General features: G+C 39.6%; 1 long non-coding RNA gene across 13 annotated transcripts in view; it reads right to left on the bottom strand.

Annotated features, from left to right (window-relative positions):
- LOC105375523 (uncharacterized) overlaps positions 1-22,077 on the bottom strand; it is a 459,019-nt gene that overhangs the window by 183,927 nt on the left and 253,015 nt on the right. For 6 of the 13 annotated variants that reach the window (NR_187954.1, NR_187953.1, NR_187955.1 and 3 more), the window contains one exon: positions 12,241-13,889. The exons of 3 other annotated variants lie outside the window; for them this stretch is intronic. This is a non-coding gene — a long non-coding RNA (uncharacterized LOC105375523). Of the gene's footprint in view, positions 1-12,240; positions 13,890-22,077 lie in introns of those variants that run through there. 4 more of the 13 variants (NR_187960.1, NR_187957.1, NR_187964.1 and 1 more) reach the window with 1 other exon arrangement.

The raw sequence follows: 22,077 nt of genomic DNA, 5'->3' as shown, positions 1-22,077 counted from the left end.
GCCATCCAGTCTTCAGCTTATATTTAAGAGAGTGATGGTGTGACTTTCATCTCTCTAAGAGGTTCCCACCTGTTATACCCATTCAACAACAACAACAACAAAAAACAGGATGCTTCTATATAGAGGCAGTATAGCACAGTGGCTAAGGCCACAGCTCATTGGCAGTACGTTCCTAGGGAAATAATTTAACTTTTCTGTGCCTGGAGTTTCTCTTCCATCAAATGGAGATAATAATAACCCCTACTTCACAGGATTGTTACAAGGTCTAAATGAGTTAACATGTGAAGAATTTAGAACAGTGCCTAATACTTAGTAGCACTCAATAATACCATTGAGCAAGCAGCTGATGTTCCAGACCAACAGCCAGCAAACCTTTTCTGTAAAGGTCCAGACAGTAAGTATTTTATGTTTTTCAAGCCATGCGGTCTCTATAGCAAACACTCAACTCTAGCATTATAGCATGAAAGCAGCCCCAGCCAAATGACAAACAAATGAGTCTGGCTGTCTTTTAACAAAACTTTATGGCTGGGCGCAGTGACTCAGGCCTATAATCCCAGCACTTTGGGAGGCTGAGGCAGGCAGATCACCTGAGATCAGGAGCTCGAGACCAGCCTGGCCAACATGGTGAAACCCTATCTCTACTAAAAATACAAAAGTTAGCTGGGTGTGGTGGCAGGCACCTGTAATCCCAGCTACTTGGGAGGCAGAGGCAGGAGAATTGCTTGAACCGGGAAGGCAGAGGTTGCAGTGAGCCAAGATCGTGCCATTGCACTCCAGCCTGGGCAACAGAGCAAAACTCTGTCTCAAAATTAAAAAATAAAACTTTATTTACAAAACTAAGCAGCAGGCTGGATTTGACTTATGAATCATAATTTGCCAACTCTCTTCCAGTCTAATTATATTCTCTGATTGTTCTATTGTATAGACCAACAATCTAAAGAAGATTTAGTTTCAGTGTTATTCCTAGACTCAGTTTCCTGCAAGAAAGTTTCCTGATTCTTGACTCAATCCTTGCATGGATTTGCCAATGTCAAGATTTCTACCTGCATTCTTGACCCTGAATATGACCCTGGTTCATCTGGTGGATTGTGTCATTTACTTCTGCTGATACTCATCACCTTGGTTTTGTTTGTTAACTTCATGATACCCATTTACAGCATCTTTTAAACACATTGAACCCATCTATTCATCCATCTATCCAAGTCATTATTTCATTAAATCCATTATTCACAAACATTAAAGTAAGTGCCAATTTTGTGTGTGCATGAGTACTGTGCAGGATTCTGGGAATATGAGTATGAATAGGACTTACCTACATTCTGCACTTAAAAGACCCACAGCCAGAAAATTATTATAGCGATACAAGGCTTTCACCTATGTACATGTTCAAGATACCACATGAGTCCAGGAAAGGAAGCTTCTTCCTCTCTTGGGGTCTTCATATACACTATTTCCTTTGCCAGAAGGCCATTTTGCCCACTCTCTGCATGGAGAACTCCTACATAGCCTTTACATTTTGCCTTAAATAGCACTTCTTCAGAGAAGTAGCCTCACTTTCATCATTTCAGGTATGTTCCACCTGTTGGACACTCCCCCCTCCAAAGTCCTTAAAATAATGAAAATAAAGTAATGATTTATGATGGTTTGTTTGATGCATATATCATCCACTAAATTATCGGCTGTCTTCCGTACTGTTATATGCCCAGCGAGAAGTAAAAGGGAAATGCCATATTTGGGGTGCCTTAAAAGCAAAAAAGCAAAAAGAACTTCAGCAAAAAAGCAAAGAAGAAATAGCATTGCAAAAAGCGGAAAAAGCAAGTGGAATTGAACACCCACGCAGAAGGGCACAACACATTCAGGAAGCGAATTAGTTGATAGTTCCTCATGGCTAGAGCTCAAGAGAAAACACTAGGCAGGTTATAAAATTGGAAAATCAGCCTTCTCTTTGTTTCTGTAAGTTTGACTTTTTTAGATTCCACATGTAAGTGAGATCGTGCAGTATTTATTTTTCTGTATCTGGCCACTGTGTGTGTATATATATATATATATATATATATATATATATATATATATCTCCAAATAGCACATTGTACACCTTGAATAGATAATATTTTTATTTGTCAGTCATACTTCAATAAACCTCAAAAAAAAAAAAAGAAAAAAACGAAAAGTAGGCCAATAATGAAGTGGGGGACATGCCAAGGAATTTCAGCATAATCCTGCATGTTCTGGGCAGCCACTGAAGCCCTGAGCAAATAAGTGAAATGATACATATTTTAGAGCGATGGCTCTGGAAGCAGTGAGGGAAAAAAGAGACTTGGTGCAAGGGAGATTCCTTATGGGGTTGATTTCTGGTTTTATTCCACTGTGGTCTGAGAAAATGCTTGATATAATTTCAATTTTCTCAAATATATTGGGGCTTGTTTTGTGGCCTATCAAATGGTCTTTCTTGGAGAAAGCTCCTTGTGCTGTTGATAGAATGTATATTCCATGGTTGTTGGGTAGAATGTTCTGTATATATCTGTTAAGTCCATTTGTTCCAGGGTATAGTGTAAATCCACTGTTTCTTTGTTGACTTTCTGTCTTGATGACCTGTCTAGTGCTGTCAGTGGAGTGTTGAAGTCCCCCACTATTATTGTGTTGCTATCTCATTTCTTAGGTCTATTAGTAATTGTTTTATAAATTTGGGAACTCCAGGGTTAGGTGCATATATGTTTAGGATTGTGATATTTTCCTGTTGGACAAGGCCTTTTACCATTACATAATTTCCCTCTTTGTCTTTTTTAACCACTGTTGCCTTAAAGTTTGTTTTGTCTGATATAAAAATAGCTACTCCTGTTCACTTTTGGGGTCCATTTGCATGGACTGTCTTTTTCTCTCTGGCTTCTTCTCTCCAGGCCACCATTCACCATCCTCTGCTGGCTCAGGCATTCACCCTAAAACACCCCTTATCCTGCCCCTCCTTACCCAGGCCTCCCCCAAACTTACCATCATACACACCTTCTCTAAGGAAACCAACATCCAATTTCAGAAGGTTTCAGGGAAAAGTGGGAGAAAAAAAAGGTAACACTCAAGGCTGCAGAACAATCACAAATAACATGGATGTGTTGATGACTGCTGTATTAGTTAGCTTGGGCTCCCATAACAAAATACCACAAACACAAATGTATTGATTCACAGCTCTGGAGGGTAGAAGTCCAAGATCAAGTTGTCAGCCAGGTTGCTTCCTTCTGAAGGCTGTGAAGAAGAATCTGTTCATGCCTCTCTCCTTGCTTCTAATGGTTGGCTGGCAAGCTTTGGCGGTCCTCTGCTTGTAGTCACATCACCCGATCTCTGCCTTCATGTTCATGTGCCGTTCTCCCTGTGTGCATGCCTGTGTCCAAATCTCCTCTTTTTATAAGGACTTCAGTCATACTGGCATTGGTCCCACCCTAATGACTGCATCTCAAGTTATTTACATCTGCAACAACCCTATTGCCAAATAATGTCACATTCTGAGGTACTAGAGGATAGGATTTCAAAATCTGAATTTTGGGGGAGACAATTTATACCACAACTGCTGAACACCATCCTTTTTTTTTTTTTAGTTTATAAATAAACTATTTCTTTCAAAAAGTAATATATGAAAAAGTGCTCCATCAACTGGAAAATGGTAAAGACACTATCATTATTACCTTTAATAAAGCATTGATCATTTATATAAATTCTATCTCAAAAGTATTGAGGGTTAAGTTATGGGTCCTTAGTAATTCAAATGCCAAGTGTTGGACACAATAGGACGTAATCACCATGCCAAATTTATAGTCCTTTAAATGCAATGTAAATATGGGATGAGACTTTTAGGGATTACTATTTTTAGTTATGACTGTCAACATAATCACCCCTGTGGATTTTGAAAAAGCTTTGTATTAAATGAGTTCATTCATCTCTGACTAAAGACTTAACTGTTAAGATTGCAGCCATCATTCCCAATGGCTCATCAAGGCACCGGATTTTGCCAGTGCTCCCAAAGTCATGAAGTCACTGCTTGAGGTCCGCAGCAATGGAATTTCAGGCATGCTGTTTCAGAGCTTGTGGTGTGGCTGGGTGCAGAAGCATCTCAGGGTATGTGCATAATCCCATATTCCAGCGCTAGCCCAATATTCCACACCACTGCTCAATGTTCCCCCAATAACTATTTTTAATGAAATCCTGCCTTATGCTTTTTATTGGCTTCAAAGCTTCTTCTCAACATCTTAGAACTGAATTTGTAGATACTGACATACCTCTAAATCCCATTCCCCACCTGAGAAAAGGGATCAAAAGCTTAGGCTTCCTTTTGATCCATATGACACAATGCTATACTCAGAGCCCTCAAGCTGATTATATTTTGCTCTCATTTCTTTGAGGAAATCTTTGTTCAAAAGAGGTTTTACCAAACAGAATCACAGCAAAACCTTTTACTCTTACTGTCCCTTTTCATTTCCTCCTACTTCAAAATGTATACCTGCACATCTAATTTCTCCTTCACAATATAATTATAAATATCTGCATAGTGTGTTACATAATCCTAGGAGGGATTATAACCTGCTGATCTCATGAGGTAGTTATAGCCCCTGTGAGCCTCCATCCAACTGACTGCAGAGCCACAAAGAGGGCTTCCAATGGTTAGATATTTCATTTGTTATTTATTGTATTTGGAGGGTCACAAATCAGTTAACTCATAAGACTTATGTGTTAACCCATTCTTGCATTGCTGTAAAGGAATAGCTGAGACTGGATAATTTATAAAGAAAAGTGGTTTTAATTTGGCTCACATTTTTGCAGTCCGTACAGGAAGTGTGGTGTTGGCATCTGCTTCTGGTGAAGCCTCAGGAAACTTCCAAACATGGTAGATTGTCAATTTGTTCCAGGGTATAGTTTAAATCCATTGTTTCTTTTTTGACTTTCTGTCTTGATGACCTATCTAGAGCTGTCGGTGGAGTATTGAAGTCCCCCTTCAATACTCAAATTGTGTTGCTGTCTATCTCATTTCTTATGTCTATTAGCAATTGTTTTATAAATTTGGGAGCTCCAGGGTTAGGTGCATATGGAACTCCCACGGCAGAAGAAAACGGGGAAGCAGGTGCATCATGTGGTAAGAGTGGGAGCAAGAGAGAGAGTAGGGGGAGGTGTCACGGTCTTTTAAAGAGACAGATCTCACATGAACTCAGAGTGAGAACTCACTCATTATTGCAAGGACAGTACCAAGCTATTCATGAGGAATCCACCCCCATGACCCAAACACCTCCCACCAGGTCCCATCTCCAACACAGGGGATTACATTTCAACATGAGATTTGGAGGGCACAAACATCCAAACTATGTCATCTCAGTATAACTGGGGTAGAAAACAAAAGACTCTTTTGCTTTAATTTAAAATTCTTTCTCTCTTCCTTCTCAAGCCAATTCTAAAGTTCATTTGGACTTTTGTTTAAAATAGCCATATATCAGAATTCCCAACTTGCTAGACACAACATGGGGACAATAAGTATTTTGGCATAATACCCACTCCTCGACTCAGAGCCAATGATGCTATATTAAATTTTAAGTGCAAAATCCTTAACATTAATTTGCTCCCAAGTCAGAGAGGACATATATTGTGAATCACTGAAGAGAAAAATTACAAAGGGTTTGGGTTGGCTGCATGCAGCTGGGTTGACAGCTATGGGGCAGAGGGAGAAGAGCAAAGACATAGAGTTACAGAAAATGAAAATCGACTTTCAGAGAAAACAAGTGGGTCAGGGACATGCATGAGGGGTGGAAAATGACCCCACAATATCCAGCATGACTTAATAGAGTGAGCCAGGTTTCAGGGCACAGTCAAGGAGACGAACTAGAGAGTAGAATCAAAGATTCCTGGGAGCACAGTGAGTGGCTGATTTATGAAGACCATCTGTGAGGTCATCATGTCCTCCAACCAAAAGCCAAAGGAAAAAACTCAGGTCCAAAGGCTGACTCGAGGCAAGAGAGCCAGAACCACAAGCAAGGGACTGGGGAAAACAAAGCAGTGATGACAGGGAGATGCTGGGAGGGACTGTTTAGTGTTTCAAAATCAGCCAAGATCCAACAACATTAGAACTTCATCTTTCTCGCCTGATCAACTGTTTTTACCTCTCTCTGCTAACATGGCTGCCCACCACCAGCCTCTCATACCTACCTCCACCCACAGTCACTCATGCCAGGGAGCATCTTTCTGTCTGAGTATCCAATCAGTATCATTATCATCCATTTTTTTGTATCATTCTAATAGAAAACCTGATTCTTTGGTGGATGAAACCAGAATGTAAATAAGAGACTTTTGCTCCTCGAGACTCTTGCAACATGCTATTGACCAGCTCCTTGCCTATGCCTGAAATTTTCCTATTCCTTCACTCTGACTTGAACTGTTGGAAATCCCTTTTCAATCACTGTGAGAGAGGAATCAGTAGCATTAGCTGTTCCTCATTTGAACCTTCTTAGAAGATCAATCAAACTGGTAAACGAAGGTGTCCTCGTGTAACCCTGGCAGAAGAGCACTTATTTCAAAATGTGAACATAGTCTCATTACTTACCTCTATACCCTGTAGTATGTATACTCAACTCAACAGTAAATGTCTAAACTGCAAATTCTAAAGTAATGCCTAGATTTGCACTTGGCCCGTTAAAATCTTATCAGTAAAGGAGGTCACATGAGGATGTTTCCAAAAGCAACAAAAACTCAGAAGGAAAAACTGGCACAGAAAGACCCTCTTACGGCAATTCCTTTTACTCGTTTCACAGGACAATGGCAGCAATGTGTCAACATAAGATCTATTACAATTGGGACAAGAATGCTGCATTTTATTTGGTCTTGTATAGATTAAATAAAGTTGAAATGAATCAGAAAAGAGCAGACAGTAAAAGCCTCCCAACAGAGTCTTACTTTTTTTCTAAATAAAAAAGTACAAAAGGGTTGGTTGCTTGAGCTGCATGGTGCAATATATATATGCCATTGACCAATAAGTTAAAAAGATAAAGGATGTCTAGAAAATGCAAAGATAAGCAATCCAACGAGGTCCAGATGAAATTCTGCCAAAGGTGGAGCCAGGCACTGCCTGGCCTCCTGCTCCATCTGCCTCTCCTATTTTCCCTGCCTGTGGGCTCAGTACTGCCTCATGCTGACTTCATCCTGGTCCAGTGCAAACAGCGTATCATAGTCAGGCTCACAATACATGTTAACATGGTCTTTTATTTTTTCTGCACATTTTCTAATTGAATCTGCTGTCCGGACACTGGGTCTGGTTCTGATTTTTTCTACCTGGCCCTCTTGGCCACTTTTCTGACACTTGTTACTCATCTTTACCTATGTGTGTTTTCCAGGCCTCAGAATTCTTTCTGTCTGCCTCTCCAGATGCTAATCTGGCTGAGCTCCTTTGCTCTTTATTTCTTCTGTGTTCCTCCATCTCCTTGTTAAGGTCCTAAACCTGGTGTGCTTCCCTTATCCACAGACTTCCTCACTTCTCTCAACCTTGTTATCTTCAGAACCTCTTTTACCTGGACAATTCTCTGGCCTTACTCACTGGTAGCCCTAATCCCTGCACTGATAAACATAAACAAAAGAACTTATGGTTTTCAAGGGGATCATTTATTACTATGGGCTTATGGCTATTTGCTAAGAGGTAGAGATAGATATAAACATAAATCCATATGACTATTCTATGTTGGGGGATAAAATGACTACCATTAGGCAAATTTGAATAATAATTGAAGTAATTTAAGATATGAAATAGGAAATGGGTATTAAGCAATCTGAAAACAAGGAATTAATGAGCATCAAGCAGGGTCTGAAAGTAAATTTTTTAAAACTTTACTCCAAACAATTACATATTCTATACAGTAGATAGGTTTTCATACTGCTTTCCATAAATGAAATAAGTAAATAATAAGTAAATGCAAGATATAAATCTCTGGAGCAATAACTTCTACAATAAAATCTATGTAAAGGACACACAGAATTTTCCCCCATGGTGAAATGGTTACTTATGGCTGTAGTCTTTTTTTTTCCTTTTTTTTTTTTTTTTTTGAGATGGAGTGTCACTCTGTCGCCCAGGCTGGAGTGCAGTGGCATGATCTTGGCTCCTTGCCTCCTGGGTTCAAGCGATTCTCCTGCCTCAGCCTCCTGAGTAACTGGGGTTACAGGTGCACGCCACCACACCCAGCTAATTTTTGTATTTTTAGTAGAGACAGGGTTTCACCATGTTGGTCAGGCTAGTCTCGAACTCCTGACCTCATGATTCACCCACCTCGGCCACCCAAAGTGCTGGGATTACAGGCATGAGCCACCACACCCAGCCTGGCTGTACTCATTTTAAGCTGTGGTTTTTCCTTCTCAGACACATCAGCCAACCCCACTATCGATAGGCAAGGGCTGTTTAACAGTTTCCATTTATTACATTTCATCACTAATCTCATCTCCTCTCTTTTCCTACTTTTAGTTTCTGCTGATTCTCTTCAGGAACTCAGAGAATAGAGGAATGGGCAGCTATCACCCATTTGAGAATAAACTCAGAACCAGTAACTTATTAGCTCAGAAGTTTTTGCCAGACTGATGAAAATCCTGCTTCTGCCACAGACTGACAAATTACCATTTGTCAGAGAGATTACGTAGCTATGCTCAGGGAGTTATCAGGGGACCTAAAAGCTGTATCAGAATATACTTCCTGACATCAGTAAAATTCTTTCAGGCAGGAAACTGTAAACATTATCAAAAGTCCTAAAGATAACTGTAGTCATCTAAGGGTGGGTATGTACTGAAAGTTGTGTTCCTGAAACTGACCCTGGAAAAATGTTTACATTCAAGTAGTTACAAAATAATTTGCAAATCAGCTAATGCACTAGCATTTTTAAAATGCTAAAAATGCAAACACGATCTATTTTCCAGCTTGCAGGAGAGAAACCCTAAATACAACAAATGGTCTGCACCTGTAATTCAAGTCTGAAAAGCATCTCAGATATCAATTGCCTATGTGAAAAAGAAGAAAAGAGGGAAAAAAATAAAAAACAAGTCACTGGTGTTTTGTTCACAAGAAACTGGAAAATGACATCCAAAGGTTTAAGACTCCTTTGAGACGATGAGAGACAAAAGGTAACACTGATCAAGCTCCAAAACGACTAAATGGTAAAGGATGGAAGCATCAGCCCAGCGACCAGCTACTGTCATCAGCCTAATTCCCAGGACTCTGCTGACTGTTATCTGGAGAATATGTTACTCAGTGACAGGTTTCCATGGATGGGGTCCACTGTTAGTTGATCTTCTAAAATTTTAATTAAAAAAAAAAAAAAAAAACAGGGCCGGGAGCGGTAGCTCACATCTGTAATCCCAGCACTTTGGGAGGCCGAGGTGGGTGGATCATTTGAGGTCAGGAGATCGAGACCAGCCTGACCAACATAGTGAAAGCCCACCTCTACTAAAAATACAAAAAAAAAAAAAAAAAAACATAGCTGAGTGTGATGGTGGGCGCCTGTAATCCCAGCTACTCAGGAGGCTGAGACAGAAGAATCGCTTGAACCTGGGAGGTGGAGGTTGCAGTGATCCAAGATCATGTCATTGCATTCCAGCCTGGGCAACAAGAGTGAAACTCTGTCAAAAAAAAAAAAAAGGAAAGAAAGAAAAAAAGAAAAACAGAAATGTTTTCTGGTCAGTGATCCCTTTCAGAATATGATTAACTTTTGGACTTCCCCCTGGAGGAGAAACATGAAGATAAAATACAAATTTTACAAACCATTCTAGAGGATTCAAGGACCAGTGCTTAACTTGTAAATCCACCAGTCATATATTAAAAATCTCTGCATTAGACTAATTGGGGAAAAAATGGTTGTAAAGGAAATAATCTTCTCATGACATTTCAAAGGATATAAATAAGAATGGGGGTGGGGAAAGGGGGAAGAGACACAGCCCAAATCTGCAAAGGGCTCTTGGCCCAAGGGCTCACCTGTCAGATATAATCTTTGAAATATTCTTAATGAATTATCCCCTTACTGCAAAACCTCTTAAGATAACCTCTCTAGGTTCTTTGTAGTTAGTACTTTTTTTCCCTCTCCATCTCTTCGGTACTCTCTCTTAAGTATTCCTCACTCCTATTTGTTATTTTTTCACTCATCCTCTACCAACCCACATCTTTTGATTTTTTGTTCCTAAACTTTAGTGACTCTACTCGTGACCCATGAAGTATAAGCCAGGAACACATTTCTACACACCTCTAGGAAGCTAAGTACACTAAGCAACCAAAACATTAAGCTTCTTGAAAAGTTTCCTCAATGCTGGAAACAATGCTTTTTGAATTTAAAATTGCAAGACAGAGTAACCCATAACAAATATGGGAATGAGACTAAACTACTCAATGCTAAAGCAAATCATTCACGCAGTTGACAACTGCAGAGTTTTCTGTCATAATTTCAATGGACTGGCCATGCACCAAGAATGGATAACTGCCATATGATGATCTGGAAAATGGCAGTTGGAAAGAGAAGCAATCAGAAGGCCAGGCAGCAGAGAGTAATCAGAGATAAGATAGCTTCCTGGAACAAATACATCATTTAGAGTATGTTTAAAGTGGAAGAAGACTCTGAAAACAGCAGCAGCCACCAGGATCCAAAGGACAGTGTCAATGTGGGTAGACATTTGTCTTGCATCAGTCTTCCAAGATATATCCAACACTTCCAGCCAGAAAACATAGGCAACAGGGTGGTCTTGTACCATAAAGCGCTAATGCAAATTTTAAAAAGCACCATCAGATTTTTCAAGTAGTTTTGAAGAAGCAATAAAAAGTCTTGGTTATTTTGTCAATATGCACCATAAAACAAAAAAAGAATGCATCTGAATTGGTTTTTGTCAGGTAGTCAGTGAAGCAAGGCAAAGCACCAAGAAGAGAAAATAAATGTCTTCTTTTGAGAAGTGTCTGTTCATATCCTTCACCCACTTTTTGATGGGGTTGTTTGTTTTTTTCTTGCAAATTTGTTTAAGTTCCTTATAGATTCTGGTTATTAGAATTTTGTCAGATGGATAGATCGCAAAAATTTTCTCCTATTTTGTAGGTTGCCTGTTCACTCTGATGATAGTTTCTTTTGCTGTGCAGAAGCTATGTATACCTATGTAACAAACCTGCATGATTAGCACATGTATCCCAGAACTTAGAGTAAAATAAAATAAAAAGAAGAGAAAATAATGAAGTAAACACGCTAGACCTGGTTTACATGGCTCTCTTGAGTGATGTAAGTTTCAAAATAAACAAAAGAACACTTTGAGCAATTACTAAATGCAAGGCAGTGTTTCATGCTATAGACCAGTGAATTTCAAAATCAACTGTCCAGAAAAATTATCTGGATGAGCTTTTAAAAAAATCAGAATCTTGAGACCCTTCTTAAAACTTTTCAGAATTCCCAAGCTGAGATCTTAGATTCTAGGTTTTTTAAAAGACACCTTGGGTGATTCTGATGTGGCTAGTTTGGAAACTACTACTACAAGACATGTATTATATTGATGCAAAAGTCATTGCAGTTTTTGCAATTGAAAGTAATGGCAAAAACCACAATTACTTTTGCACCAACCTAATAGAATTAATAAGACACCAACCTAATAGAATTAGACACCAACCTAATAGAATTAATAAGACATAGTCTCTTTCTCTCCTCTTCTTGGAACCAACCCAAATGCCCATCAACGATAGACTGGATAAAGAAAATGTGGCACATATACACCATGGAACACTAGGCAGCCATAAAAAAGAATGAGTTCATGTCCTTTGCAGGGACATGGATGAAGCTGGAAACCATCATTCTCAGCAAACTAACACAAGATCAGAAAACCAAACACCACACGTTCTCACTCATAAGTGGGAATTGAACAATGAGAACACATGAACATAGGTAGGAGAACATCACACACCAGCCTGTTGGGAGGTTGGGAGGAAGGGGAGGGAGAGCATTAGGACAAATACCTAATGCATATGGGGCTTAAAACCCAGATGACGGGTTGATAGGTGCGCAGCAAACCACCATGGCACACGTATTCCTATGTAGCAAACCTACACATTCTGCACATGTATCCAAGAACTTGAAGTAATAAATAAAATAAAATAAAATAAGACATAGTCTCTGTCCTCATGCACTTTAGAGTACAATTTTTGAGAAAATTCATAAGAATAGAAAAAATGTGAATGTATCAAGTGTGAAATAACAGTACAGCAACACAAGGGCAGCACGATGCAGTCAAGAATTGTCCACTTTTCATTCCATCATTTGAGCATTGAGAAGTGAAGGTTATGATACAAAGATTGAGCAGAACAAAAAACCATCATCTTGTTTTACTGAATTATTTCAGGTTCTAATCAAAATGTATGTGGTTGTAAAAGTCAAACACTGTGTGATGGGAAAAAAATATGTAAGTAAATTAAAAGAGGTAGCCATAGCCAAAATGATTTCTCCCAATTTTAAACACGTAAATCATTCCCCAAGCTAACAATTAACACATGGCTAATTATGAAACAACATTTGTAATAATAATAAAAGCACATGAGAAGAATGTGCTAATGTCTTATAAATTTTAACAGCCCCTAAAACATAATTTTCACTTTAATTTGCCTAATTAATTAAATTGACTGAATTTGTCTGGCAGTAATCTAAAAATCTAGCTACAAGTTATAAATACATTGCATGGAAATGAAAGGGAAGAAGAAATATAAAAGCATAAAAGGTACAACAAAGTAACCAAGTTCCTGGTGAATTATCAAAACTCCAGTTCTGTTCATGGATCTTCTGTCTTAGCCTTTACCTGCTCAGGTAGCTTCCATGTTATCCACAAGTGTGGGCAGGATTTGCTTATTAACCAACGGAGTTGCATGAAATCATTCACAATCAAATCTTGCCTTTCGAGTACCGGCTGCCCTAGAATTCTCAAGAGCCCTGTTAGACATCCTGCTTCTTGATCTTGGACCTCCAAAGTCAACTCTTTCTCCGGCCTATGGTATGCTGTTACTGTACCTATGCCCACAGCCCATGTTAGTCTTTAATCAACATGTATTTCAAAAGGTGGATAATATTTCTAACAAGAATTGCATGTATACTTGAAATGTTGTAACTAATAGCACCTTAGCACATCAAATGGATTATTTTGAGATACTAATAAACTAATCATCAACTATTTTGCTCTCTTAATATTAGCTTATCATCAATGTGTTAGTTACCTGCATAATTGCAAGGGGAGTTTAAAATAGGTTACCTGTTCTTAGAAAATTTAAAATATAAGAAAATACTATACTTATGCATGAGAAACCATGAGAAGCAATGTAAAACATATAGAGCAAGTGTATAAGTTGTGACGTGCCCTCCAAATATTAGAGAATTAAAGGAAAAGGAAGTTGCCTATAAGCAGAAGTGAAGAAGTAGGCACAATATTGTAGAAAGAACATTGCATTTGAAATTTTTAAGAGTTGAGTTCTAGCCCTTACTCCACTCTGTAACCGGGTAAGAGTCCTTATCCTCACTGCTCTACGTCTCAGAGGCCATTTGTTAAAAAAAACCAGATCGAATTAAGTCAGTGTTCTTAACTGGAGTAAGGGGAGTCTCAGACCATCACAAAGAATTTCCAGACTCACACCATCCCTCTCATTGCCTGGAAGATTCAGACATTACCCGTCCTCCACACCTTCACATGAAGTCTTATAGAATATGGCATCACTGGAAAAAAGCAGTTCAGAAAAGAATCCATGTGATTCTGTTGTCCTTTCACATTTTCCATTTGAAAGCCGCTGGACTGGATGGTCTGCAAGGACTTTCCTAGTTCTCATTAACTGTTCTCAAAAAAGTCAGCACCACGTTGGAAAATCTTGATCTGCAGTCTTGCTCTGTAAGATACTAAATAAGCAGAAACAGTCATTCTCAAGGCTTCCTGTGCATAAAAATTCATTTCATGAGCATTTATTAAACACCTACTCTGAGCCAATGCAGTTCGGGGGACTCAATGATAAGCCAACAAACACACACACAACTGAAAGCCTTACTCCCAGACCTCATGAAGCCTGCCCTCTCTGGCCCTGTCCCAAGAGATTCTGGTTCCAGACGCTCCGTAAGAATATCATGATCCATACACAGTAACTTAACTGTACACAGGAGTGATTGTAAAGTGCATTAATGAATCCCACTGAACTCACTGAATGTATCCTCAATTGAAATTACGAATACCTATTCTAGCACTTCCTGTCACCAAAGGAGGTATCACAGAAGGGAAATCAGAAGAGAAAGAGACTCTGGTCCTAATGCAGTTAAAATGTCTCACTTTTACCAGCTTTACAAACCTGTAACCATGTATCACATTGCTATAGCTATTTGCAGAGACTTGGGAAGGACACAGTCAAAGCATAGGCCCTAAAATGTAAGCTCCACTATTTTCACTGTAAATCCCCCTCTCGTTGGGGCCAACGGTTGGCAGCCAACAGAGTAAAGCCAGAGGCAAGCATGAAACACTGTCTGTGCGAAGTAGATAGTGGGGAATCTGAGTTTAATTCTAGTTCTATCTTAGAAGCTTAATTAATATTTTTGATGAGTTAATGTATCATTAAAACCTCCTGATGTGACTCTTAAGGAAGGAGGAGATAAGAGTTGTTTCAGATTGTCCTTTGGAAGTGGGAGTTATACATAGTTGTTTGAAAACTCATATTCAATGTTTTTTAAACACAAATTACAGAAGGTCAGATTTGACAAAAATCTTCTTGCTTTGTGGGGATATACAGATTACAGAGTGAGAAAGCACTACAGGAGTTGTGGATTTTAAAGAAGTAAACTCCTTCAAGATTAGAAGGTGGGAGCCACTGCAAACAGTGTCTGGGTGGCTAAGGGGCAGGTAAAATGGAGAAACAGAGAAGAGCATGACTGGTCTCCATCTGGCCCAGTTTCCTCATCTTTGTCTTTTCTGGCTCCCTACAGGCAGATCAGCAATCAGTCAAGATGGGAGAGTGGACTATTACAAGACTATTGTGAGATCCAGCCCCCTCCAGGGGGACCAGGAAGATTGAAATCAGATGTGAAGGGGTTTTGATGTTAGGCTGAGGAGTTTAGATTTTATCCTGCTATCCATGGGTGCTGATGGTGACCAACTTGGTGTTTGGTAAGACAGCCCTGGTCGTGATGAAGAGGTTGGACTGACACCAGGAAGGCCCAAGGACAGCCTCCAAAACAGTCAAGATTCTGTGGCACTTGTCCCCCTGAGAGATGGTGAGGTGCTGACGGAGGGCAGTGGCCGCGACTGTGAAGACCGTGGGACCTGGGGCTGCAGGGAGGGAGGAGGCAGCCACACTGCTCCCCTCTGGCCCCCTCCTGGATGGCACTCACTCACTACTGTTCTACCACCTACCAGAGATAATCACATACCACTACTCCTCAAGAGCCACAGTTCTATTCTAGCTTCATACACATATCTGTCTAACAAGTCTTGTTTAGCTTGGAGAGAAGGCTGGGAAAGAGCATGAAGGACCCTATAAGAGGGTAGGGCCACACTGAGGACCTTCCAGTACCCACCTAATTTGTTATTAATATCTGCAGTACCATCAATATCATGTACCAAATGGATTGCATCTTCTAGGACTGAAGTTTTTCTATATTCTAACAATATAGGATAATCTAAGCAACTGCAAACTTCAATGCCTGCCTTAGCCAAGCCTGTCTGGATTTCTTAGAGTTCCCCCAGGCAATTTCCTGTCAAGCTAGACAAGCTTCAGAATGCTCCTTAATGTACCTGTTAGAGACTCAGAACTGCCTCCTCTGCCTGATTAATTTCCCAAAGGGTCTAAGCTGCTTGTCTCAGAACCATTCTGCTTCCGATCAAGAGCTAAAAAGACCCATCTAGATCACAAAGGATCAAGGAGCCAGATGGGGCATCCTCTATAGGACACAGGTTAGTGTTAAAAAAAAAAAAAAAAGTTAAACCTGTCTGGTGAACCTGACTTTCATGCAAGTTCTCTACAACTACGAGGAGGATGGGGAAGATGAGTGGTATTTTCTGACAAAAGAAAAATAGTTATCTATAAAACTTACACAAAAATGCAAAATGAATCCCTATCCTCTTTGTTTTAGGAAAAAAATATATATGTACCTGTCAATATATACACGATATATATATATATATTTTATATATATATATACACACACACACACACTATATATATACACACATATATATACACTATATATACACACATATATATACACTATAGATATACACACACATATATATACACTATATATATACACACACACACGCAGAGAGAGAGTATATGCGTGTGTGTGTATACATATATGTCTTAATGATGCCCTTCAGAAGAATGACATATCTGTGAGATTCTAAAGTGATTTTCAACATGCATTCCCTCTGCAACTCATTACTACAAGGAAAATTGTAATGTCATATTATGTCTGATCTTTAGTGTTTAAAGAAGACAGTAAGGTTCAGAGAGGCTGAGTGACTAACTCAAGATCACAGAGTAGGTCAATCAGACATGGAATCCTATCTTCTTATTCTCAAACCAGTTTCCTTTTGAACTACATCAAGCCACTCCTTTTCACAATGAAGAGAGATAGAACAAGGAGTGGAGAAGATCAGAATGACTAGGTTTATATCCCAACTCGGGCTACTTGGGACCCCATAGCCAGACAATTTTTTTTTAACATTTCTGTGCCTCATAGTCTCATCTAAGTACTGGGAAAAAATCATAGTTACCTACTTTATAAGACTTTTCTGGGAATTAAATAAAATATAGTAAGTACTGATATATTGAGATATGCTATAAATATAATATGACCAATATTATCATCATTATTGTTTAATTGAAGTAATCATGTATATGTGAGCCCCAGGTGGCCTATTTTCAAAGAATTTGTAGGTTTAGAAACTAATTTAAAAATCTAAAATGGATTTATAGAATAGTACAATCTGCAAACAATTTCCATAATTTTAAGTTTGACACTTAAATGTATGCAATTTCTCTGCATTCTTAGGTGGAACTTCTCTGGTTTCTTCTTAAATATACTTTAAGATGCAGGTTTTCCCAAGATTTTTTAGGAGTGGGAGATAGAAAACATATGTAAAAATCACTAACTTCAGGTTGCTTCACAGCTCATATCCCATGCCTAGCTCCCATGCCTATTTATAACATAAGTAGCTCATGTTATTTTCCCAATTTTACTATAGAGTCATCCCTTAGTAATCCCAAAGATTGGTTCCAGGACCCCAGAGGATACCAAAATCCATGTCTGCTTAAGTCCCTAATATGAAATGGTGCAGTATTTGTATTTAGCCTACACACATCTTCCCATATACTTTAAGTCATCTCTGGATTATTTATAATACCTAGTCCAGTATAAATGCTATGTAAAGAGTTGTTATACTACACATTGTTTTTATTGGTATTTTTTACTGTTATATTTTTATGGGTTTTTAAAAAAAAAATTTTTGGTTCACGGTTGTTTGAATCTGTGAATGTGAAACCCATGGATATGGAGGGCCGACTGTGTTAGTAAAATTCTATGATGCTCCTGTATTTGAACCTGGCTAGATATAACCACTGATCTCCTCTGAACAACAATATTTTTTTCTCTACCAGCCCTCTCAGAATATAGTAACAGTCTCCAAACCATAATACAGTCATCTTCCTAACTCTTATTTTTGAATTACTGAATTCTCGATTTATGACAGTGGTTTTCAAACTCGGCTGCCCATTAATATCACATGCAGAATTTTTAAAAATACAGATGCCTGGGTACCACCCCCAGGGAGTGTTAGTTGGTCTGGGCTGCAGTCTAGGCACTGAGGTCTTTCAGAGCTTTCCAGGTGATTCTGAAGCCAAGGTCAATACTTTCTGATAGAGGGATCCCATGCAGATGGAGAGACCTACAAGGATAAGACCAGAGGAACCCGGCTCGAGCATCTGCTTCTCTGGGTGACCATCAGAGCTCCCCAAATGTTGACCGCACCTTCCTCTGCCCCCTTAAAGTAGCTCCTCCGCAGCACGTCTCATGCTGATTTGTGTTAATTTGCTTCTATATTCCTCCTCATTTCTTCACTGTGAGCTCCTGAAAGCAGAGCTCATTTTTCTCTCATCCCAAACAGAATATTGAACCACAAACAAACCCTGGCACATAGAACGTGCTCAGTGAATGTTTGTGGCATCACACTGACAGTGTTTATTCCTTCTAACTCTGACCAAAGTAACCCGGCTAGAGCAACTCTGTCCAGAGAGCCAGGACTATGGTGCTGCAAAGTTAACACTTGAAGGATACCCTGAAAGGCATCCCACAACCAAACCAGCTGCTCATCAATAATTAAAAACAAGTGTGTGGCAGCGCTGGTGCTGATAGTTTATGACTTGCAAAGTGTTCTTTCTGGAGACTCCTCAAGTGTGAATATAATTAAAGCCTCTGAATATTACCTCTTCCATTGTGCCTGGTACTAGTCCCTGCTCATTGTTCAGATAAGACAAGACTGATGAATGTGAATGTGTCTGAAGTTAAAGTAGGCAGGAGATAATGAAAAAGGCTGATTGGAAAGTCCTTATCAACTCAAGAGGGTTCTGAGATATAGAGAGCATGAGGACACCAGGCATCCCCATCTTCCAAAGTCACGAAGGGGAAGGGCAGTTGCTGCAAATTCTGCAAGTTCCTCTCCACTGACACATACAAGTCAAAAGGGCCATTTATGCATAAATCCAGACAGATTAATATTCTATGGGAATGGTAACCCCTGGATCCTGTAACTTGGCAGCCCCCAAATTGCCTGTGGTGGGAAGCTTCACAGCAGAGGTAATACAAGGCTACTTTTATTATTAATAAGCTTCAAAAAGATCCAAATCCTTTATGGTAATTTTTGCTATTGTTCACAACATAGTCCTGGATCTCCCTCTGAAATTGACCCAATAGTCCCATAGGCAGTCCCATAGATTCTCATCCCATTGCTGTCATGATAGAGGACGGCTCTATCTTTAATGTATCAGTTCATTCCTAGAACAAACTGTTTATGGGATAAACATAGAAATTGACCCTTCTGTTGTTAAAGCTTGAAACTTGTATTTGTTTATCTGAGTTCCTTCCTGATATGGTTTGGCTGTGTCTCCACCCAAAATCTCATCTTGAATTGTAATCCCCATAATTCCCATAATCCCCACTTGTCAAGGGAGAGACCAGGTGAAGGTAATTGAATCATGGGGGTGGCTTCCCCCATGCGGTTCTCATGATAGTGAGTGAGTTCTCACTAGATTTGATGGTTTTATAAGTGTTTGGTAGTTCATTCTCCTTCCTGTCGCCTTGTGAAGAAGGTGCCATGCTGCCCCTTCACCTTCTGCCATGATTGGAATTTTCCTGAGGCCTCCCTAGCCATGCTGAACTGTGAGCCAATTAAATTTCTTTCCTTTATAAATTACCCAGTCTCGGGTGGTTCTTCATAGCAGTGTGAAAACAGACTAATACACTTCCTCAGGAAACGACCTTCAGGCCACTCCAAAAAAGTATCACAGAACTAAAACTCACCAGATCACCACACCAGATGCCTCCTTCTGCACCGCTCGCACCCAGTTCCTGTTTTTTTACATATTGTTACATTTCTTCCCTGCTATATAAAGCCCTAGTTTAGTCAGTCAGGGAGCTGAATTTGAGACTGAGCAACCACCTCCTTGGCTACAGCACCTGATTAAAGCCTTTTTCCTTGGCAATACTTGTCATCTCAGTGATTGGCATTCTGTGCAGCAAGGAGCAGGACCTAGACCAAACCCCTGCTGTTTCAGTAACACGTCTTGGACTCTGCCTCTCCATTCTGATCATAGCACCAATTCCTGAGAACCTTTGGTTCTGAAATCCTGCTCCAAGCTCCCCTCTCCTCTCCTCCCCAAGTTCTACTCACTAACCTTGCATTATGCAAATGGTTAAAACGCCCAGAAAATTAGGATGGAGTTCTACACTGCAAATACTGATGGGCTGTCTTTGTTCTTTTATGTTGTTGTTACCTTGCTTCAATGAAACAAGGTTTGCTCCTCAACTCTCATCCCATTGCTGTCATGACATAGGACAGCTCAGTCTTTAATGTATCAGTCCATTCCTAGAACAAACCATCATCCCACAATTTCACTGTCCAAAGGCTCTCCCCAAGGCAGTGTGGCACAGTTGCTAACCTTGGAGTTGGATGGTCTGGGTTCAAATCTCATATCCACTACGTATAAGCACTGGCATTTTTGGCCAGTAGTCATGCTTCAATATTCCCAGCTAAAAATGTAGATGATAGTAACACTATCTACCCCATAAGGCTGTTTTGAGGATTGATATGGTTTGAATCTGTGTCCTCACACAAATCTCATGTCAAATTGTAATCTTCAGTGTTGGAGGAAGGGCCTGGTGGGAGGTGACTGGATCATGGGGGCAGAGTTCTCATGAACAGGTAGCACCATACCCCATTGGTACTGTATAGTGAGTGAGTTCTCATGAGAGCTAGTCATTTAAAAGTGTGTAGCATCTCCCCTCCTCCTCTTTCTTGCTCCTTCTCCAGCCATGTAAGACATGCCTGCTTCCTCTTCACCTTCCGTCATGATTGTAAGTTTCCTGAAGCCTCCCCAGAAGCAGAAGCTGCTGTGCTTCCTGTACAGCCTATAGAACCATGAGCCCGCTAAACCTCTTTTCTTTATAATTACCCAGTCTCAGGTATGTCTTCACAGCAGTGCAAGAATGAACTAACACAGGGATTACATATATATCCTATAGGCCAGTGTCTGACACATATCTATCAATATTATTCTCAGGTTGGAGTTTTACTGTAAGATTAACTTGGCCAAAATTATATTCCTAGAACAAGTGAGCATCTGGTTACCACTCTTTAGTTCCCAAGATGAGTAAATTCCTTCCTTGTCCCTCTTCCTTTCCCAGCTTATAAGATACATCATTCTAGATAATGCCTTTGTTATTTTCTTTCCCTATTGATTACTTTTACTTAAAATTGAAATTATTTCTTAATATTATCTTTCTGTTGTTAAGAATATCCATGGCATTCTTCTGTGGATCTGGGACTACGGATGCTTTGTCCTTCATCCCCTACTGTGTTATTTCTAGTTCACCCTCTCTGCTTCAGTTCTTTTTTCATTGGCTTCTTTTTTCAGTTACAATGTGCCCAACCTACCCCAGCCACCGGCTTTCAACTCCTGCCACAGCCAGGAAATTATCATTTCCCCTTATAATATTTTATTCATGCTTTTGAAATATAGAGCTGACTTTTTAAAAACCACCCTTACCATACTTAAAAAAAAATCGGTACTATCCATTGATATTTTAATCAAGGACTCCAGGTTGTTCCCACATTTAAAATCACTTTTTAGAACATTAGATAGTTTCTGAAACTGGAAATAAAAAGATAAAATTTAGGCAAATTAAGTACTGAAATAAAGAAACCAAACCACATACTGCAACATAAGGACAGGAAGATGAGGACTGTATTTTAGATTCCCTCTAAGATACAGCAAAAGAAAAGTGACATGGGCTACAACAACTTAAAATGTATCAATAAACATTACCTCTGAGGGTCACTCTGACTCAGATTCTGTTTCTCCCACCAGCACATTATTGGAAGGCATTTTCTCCTGATTTGTAACTTAAAGCAACATGTTCCTTTGGGGAGAAAAGTATGGAGAAGATGCAATTTGGGGAGAGCACATTATTTCTAAGAACTTTGCAGAGCAATGAGTTGCTTTGATTCACTCATGAGTGACTCATCAGTAAAACTCTTTAGATCCCAGAATGTCCAGGTCTATGGTTTAAAACTGCCCCCAAAGAACTTTTTTTCTCCTTCAGCTTCCTCTCATTTGAACTTTTGCCCACTTGTCTCCCATAGCAGTGTTTTTCAGACATACTTCTCTTAATAGGCACATCCCCACTGCCATGCCTTGGTATACCAAACCATGATGGGCATGGGTTAGGAATGATGAAAACTGCCTGGGAGAACAGCAACTTGGACATGTACCCCAAAACAGATAGTCAGTTTGGAAGTATGTTCATACATGACCAATGTATGCCCTTGCCT

This window comes from Homo sapiens, chromosome 7 (assembly GCF_000001405.40).
Source record: "Homo sapiens chromosome 7, GRCh38.p14 Primary Assembly".
NCBI lineage: Eukaryota > Metazoa > Chordata > Mammalia > Primates > Hominidae > Homo > Homo sapiens.
The sequence above is the reverse complement of the archived record's forward strand: the minus strand, read 5'-3'. Positions and strand labels throughout refer to the sequence as shown.